Here is a 6,000-nt window from a genome sequence, read left to right on the forward strand (position 1 = left end):
CAATACAATGTATAACTCTTGAAGCTGGTGACTTTTAGGGAGGCATTGTTAAACAAATGCAAATAGTAAATCCATTTTATCATGAAAGCTGAATTTGATTTAGCATGCTCAGTTGCCAACTCCCTTTATCCATAATCTCCCTTTGCATGGAATAATTTTGAAACCTATTTGATTCAATGTTATTTTTTGAAGTATTTTCAGTTTTTGAATTCAGTGACACCTCTTCAATTAAATTTGCCTGTCTACCAATGACCACAGGATTGGACTCTAATCTTGCAAACTATCTGAATTTGCCTAGTGCTTGTATTCTGGGCAACTTGCAAACTTCCCAAGACTTCTATTTGTATAATGAAACAGGATACAGTTGTCACACTTTGAATCTGTGGTTATTTAATCTGATTCTGGAGCTCACTTGAGCACAATTAGAGGAAAGACTCTAAGAAGATTTAGTTTTTTTAAAAGAATGAGCCAAACATTTCAGGCTACAACAGTCAACCCTATATAGATAACAAACAATGTCTACCATCTCAAGCCTCCCAAAGTTGCAATGCCGGGGCTACCATTTGTGCTCTCTGAGTGGTGGCTGGACAAACTTGGGCAGCTAACCTTTACAATCCTACGTGCCTTCCAAATTTAAAAAAAAAGAAAAAAACAAAACAGACAAGAATTAGTGATTATAAACTCATACTTGCAGGCTTGAGGTAGACGCTATCCTGCGTGTTTTGTAAACTGGTGATATTTTACCAAGGGCCGAGGTAGGAGGAAATGGAAATTTGGTGTTTAATGGCTACAGAGTTTCCATTTGGGATGATGAAAAAGTTATGGAGATGGACGGTGGTGATGGTTGCACAACACTGTGAATGTACTTAATGGTGAATTTGATGTTGTGTGTATCTTACTATACATTACTTTTGTTTTTATTTTTATTTTATTTTTTTGAGACGGAGTTTCACTCTGTTGCCCAGGCTGGAGTGCAGTGGTGCAATCTCGGCTCACCGCAACCTCTGCCTTTCGGGTTCAAGCGATTCTCCTGCCTCAGCCTCCCAAGTAGCTGGGATTACAGGCGCGTGACACCACGTCTGGCTAATTTTTGTATTATTAGTAGAGACAGGGTTTCACCATGTTGGCCAGGTTGGTCTCGAACTCCTGACCTCAAGTGATCCACTCGCCTCGGCTTCCCATAGTGCTGGGATTACAGCGTGAGCCATTGCGCCTGGCCCATGCCACACTTTTTTAAAAGGCCTTCTGTGTGCTGATTCTGCTGCCTGCTCACCCCTGTTTCTGCTCCTCTTGGCCCTAAGGCCACCTCCCTGAAGCAACAGCAGGTTGCAGTTTCTGGCCTCTCCTCTCCCACACCTGGCTTCTACTCGCCTCTCTCCTCTGCTCGGCTCTGCTTTCTGCCTGCCATGCCTTTCTCTTCCTCTTCACCTTCTCATTCCACTCCCATCTTTCTGACTTAGGAACTGAACATTTGGGAATCAGATGCCCAATGAAAACCAGCTGTGGGAGTCATAGACGGTCTCAGCCCTTCCCCTCTCTTTTCTTTTCATTTGCAGCCAAGTAGCCATTAAGTCAAAAGGCACGGGGCAGGATCTGGGGACCCTGGAATTAATTATTGACATTTACCTTGGCTTGGCCCCCAGCAGCTTTGATGCAAACTCCACCCTTGTTGGGAGCCCCATCCCCTGCCCCACACCACCCAAGAGCATTTCTTTTCTTTTCCTTTTCTTTTTTTCTTTTTTCTGTTTTTTTTTTTGAGACAGAGTCTCGCTCTTTTCGCCCAGGCTTGAGTACAGTGGCGTGATCTCAGCTCACTGCAACCTCCGCCTCCTGGGTTCAAGCGATTCTCCCTGCCTTAGCCTTCGGAGTAGCTGGGATTACAGGCGCCCACCACCACGCCTGGCTAATTTTTTTGTATTTTTAGTAGTGATGGGGTTTCGCCTTGTTGGCCAGGCTGGGCTTGAACTCCTGACCTGAGGTGATCCGCCCACCTTGGCCTCCCAAAGTGCTGGGATTACAGGCATGAGCCACCATGCCCAGCCCTTAATAATGTTTTCTGATGATAAAAACAACACTCCCTCATCACAGGCAATTTGAAAAGCAGAGAAAAGTTGCAAAAGGAAATTATCCCTATTACCACCTAGAGATGGTGAATACTTGAATTTTTTGTTTAAACTTTGAATTTTATTTCAAATTGACAGAAAATTGCATAGAAAGAGGATCCGTATACCCTTTACCCAGATTCATCAGCTGTGAACATTTCCCCGGTATGCTTTAACCCTGTGTTTGTTCTATCAATCATGTGTTTCTCATTCGGATTATAAAATTGACACTTTGCTCTATTCTAGTGTTCCTCAGCTTTGGTCTCTTTGGTGTTTGACCACGATTATGTGACAGATGGAGCCTGGCCACCATGTCCCTGGCTGTACCCCAGGCCCCAGCCTAGCCCTCATTTGCACCATGGGGTGTGATCATCCCCAGCTCCCGGGCACCGTGCCATGGCAAAGTCAGGTGTGGCCATGCCAGGGCTGCGGGCAGCCTGCCAACAAGACTGCAGGTTCTGCCTTTATAGCAGGGCGTGCACCAGCGCTTCACTGTTCCTGCCTTCTGTCCTTGTGACCTTGTAAGATAAGGGCGTTGGGCAAGGAAAGTGCAGGTAGGAGCAAGGGAAATGAAGGAGATGTGAATGAAATAGTTCGATTCAGGTAGATCTGGGCATCACCAGGCCCGAGGAAAGGTGTATTTTCACTGATGAAGGAAACCATGTTTTTGTTGTTGTTGCTGTTGTTGTTTGTTTTTTGTTTGTTTGAGACAGAGTCTTGCTCTGTTGCCAGGCTGGAGTGCAGTGGCGCACTCTCGGCTCACTGCAAACTCCACTTCCCGGGTTCAAGCGATTCTCCTGCCTCAGCCTCCCAAGTAGCTGGGATTACAGGGGCGCACCACCACGCCTGGCTAATTTTTGTATTTTTAGGAGAGACGAGATTTCAACATGTTGGCCAGACTGGTTTTGAACTCCTGACCTCAGGTGATCCGCCCGCCTCGGCCTCCCAAAGTGCTAGGATTACAGGCCTGACCCATCGCACCTGGCCATCGCACCTTAAAACATTTAAGACATGTTTTAAATGCTGAAACCAAATGGCCAACGATCGTATCTAAAAGGGAAGATATAATCAGAGATTTTGAGACATCTTTTAGTTCCCTAGGAATGGAATCCTCCTGAAAATATGGAAGTTGAGTATTCTTTCTTTTTAGTTTTTTCAGCGACGTCGTGGATACAATTTCTTCAGACTTGTTCTACTTTATTCATGTTCTACATTATCAGAGATTCTGTGGATGCATCACTTTAATGACAGTTATAATATTTTAAGCATTGTTAAATTAGATGGCAGTTAGAATAAGAACAATCAGTAAGCTGGACTTAAGGGTTAGTAGAACACTCTTCTCACAGTTGACAGTGTACTCATAGGAAATAGTATAACCTTGGCTGAGGTACCTGCTTTTTGAGTCATAAGATCTGAAATAGGGACATTTTCTGTACATTTTTGTAAAGTTTGCTGAAGTAGTTTAAAACCCATTTTGACATAGTTTCAGTTCCACCTGAATCAGCATTCTGAAAAGAACATTCCAGGGGTTTCCTGAAACTTACAGAGCTGAAAAGCTAGTGTGCCTCCCGGAGTCAGGCTGGAGAAGCAGATTTGGGGGCTGCAGCAGAGGTGTCCTGGCTGGGGTGAAGGGCAGAGCCAGTTCCTGGAGGGAGGGAGCCCAGAGAAAGGGCAGGTGGCCAGGGCTGGGCTAGAGAAGACCTAGAAAGAGGCCAGGAGGAGAGGAGGAGCCTTTAGGGGAAGGAGCCGAGTTCACCACCCTGGAGGTCCCAGGAAGCAGAGAAAAGGTGACGCTGACTCACTGCTGCAGGGGTCGGGAGTACCTGGGTCTCAGCTCTGCCCTTGAGTCCATCACGCTTCGCCTCTGTCTCTGAGTCTGGCCTCTGCATCTTCCCGCTCCCATTACCAGTTTTGTTTGCATTTTCTGTCCCAGGAAGCTCTCTTTGGCCTCTGGAGCTGCGTATATCTGTAGACAGCGGACCCTGCTGCCACATGGCTGGGCCTGCCGCTTCTGTGGCTTGGTCACACTCACATGCACGTACGTGTGCATGAACACGCTCGCACACACCCACATGCATACACGTGTGCACACATGCATGTACAGGCACACACGCACACATGTGCATGCGTGTGTACGAACACACACATGCACACACGCAGAATCAGAAAAGGATCCTGCCCATAGCTCACCCCAGACTCCCCTGGGTGTCGCATCTTGTACCACCCAAAGTCAGGGTGTCCCAGCCCTCTCCAGGAGGCCTTTACTTCCCAGGCTCTGTCATTCCCAGAAGCAGGGGGCTAGCATGTGACAAGGAGTGCTCAGGCTCAGGTATGGTCAGTCTGGGCAGCAGGGACCAAATCCCAGTGGAAAGGCGCAGGCCGGTGAGTGAGTGAAGGCCTGGTGTCCATCTGATGCTTCCAGAGGGCAGGGGCCAGCTTGGACTTATCTGCACCACACAGGGCCCCAGCCCAGGGCTTCCCACGGCATGGGTGAACTGGGTCAGGTGGGCTTCACAAGGTGTGGGAAGAGAGAAGACGCTGGCCTGGGAATTGGCCACCTGGCTTTCTTTCCTGGCCCTATGGAGGGAAGGGAAGGAACATTGAACTCCCCCAAGTCAGGCCCTGGACTGAGTCTCCCACTCAACCGTAGAAGCCATCATGCTGGGAAGTGGTTTTATCCCCGTTGAAGAGAGGACACAGTTCCACTGAGAGGTGAGGTCGTGATGAATGTGTCCATGGGTGTGTGCGTGTGTGTGTGGGTGTGTGCGTGTGGGTGTGTGTGTGGGTGTGCATGTGTGCATGGGTGTTCGCACGTGTGCATGTGGGTGTGTGTGCATGTGGGTGCACGTGTGTGCATGGGTGGGTACATGTGTGCATGGGTGTGTGCACGTGTGAGTGTATGCATACATATGTGTACGTTGGTGTGCATGCATGTGTGTATCCATGTGAGTGCATTGTGTTCACGTAGGTGTGTGCATGGGGGTGTGTGCATGTGTGTGCATGTGTGTGAGTGTGTGTATGTGGGTGTGTGCATGTGTGTGCATGTGGGTGGGCGCATGTGTGGGTGTGTGCATGTGTGTGAGTGTGCATGTGTGTGCGCACGTGGGTGGGCGCATGTGTGGGTGTGTGCATGTGTGTGTAGGCATGTATTGAGGGGCTGGGAAGTCTAGTCAAGGTGGGGATATGTCCTGGTCCTATTGAAAGTCTCACTGCAGCACCTCTGTAGACACTGATTGTAGGGAGAAGATTGAGAGTCAGAAGGTTCTCCACCATCCCAGTGAGAGGTGATGGTGCAGGCTGTGGGGACAGAGATTAGCAGGCGAGTAGGGATAAGTTTGGAGGTGGCATTGGCAGGACTCAGTGATGAACTGGGTGTCAGGAGAAAGAAGAATCCTGGTAACACCTTGGGCTGGGGCTCAAGCTCACTGCTCGCTGGGTGAATGCTGGTGTCCTGTGTAAAGTTGGTGAAGTCTGAGGAAAAATACATTTTTGGGGGGGAACCCACAAGGAATCAGGAATGTGAATTATGATGCCCATCAGATATCGAGAGTGGATGCCCAGTAGGAAGTGGATGTCCGAGTCTCGGGCTGAGGCGAACTCCAGGACCGGAGAGGTGAGTGGTGTGCACATGGGGCGGGCCGATGTCTCCTGGGAGAAGGTGGGAGACACAAGTGGGGAGGACCCCCAAGTCTGGTACTGGTGTTTACAGATCCTGGAGAAGAGGAGGAGCTACTGAGTGAGCAGAAGAGAGAAAGCCGCGGGTCAGGGGTGTCACCAACAATGAGAGAGGAGGCGGCTCAGGAAGAAAGTGTGTTCAGCCGGGTCATCTGCTGCCGGTGGAGGGGCAAGATGAGAACTGAAAACTATCTCTTTCTCCTGGCAACCTGAAGGTCGCTGG

The 6,000-nt window shown here is 49.0% G+C and overlaps 1 annotated feature.

The window, feature by feature from the left end:
- Positions 3,622-4,443: an enhancer, noted in NCBI's record as "H3K4me1 hESC enhancer chr22:39332328-39333149 (GRCh37/hg19 assembly coordinates)". NCBI's record gives its function as "activates a minimal SCP1, AML or CMV promoter by ChIP-STARR-seq in primed H9 embryonic stem cells {active_cell/tissue: H9 hESC(primed)}" and the evidence as "EXISTENCE:reporter gene assay evidence [ECO:0000049][PMID:30033119]".

This window comes from Homo sapiens, chromosome 22 (assembly GCF_000001405.40).
Source record: "Homo sapiens chromosome 22, GRCh38.p14 Primary Assembly".
In the NCBI taxonomy this organism is placed as follows: Eukaryota; Metazoa; Chordata; class Mammalia; order Primates; family Hominidae; genus Homo; species Homo sapiens.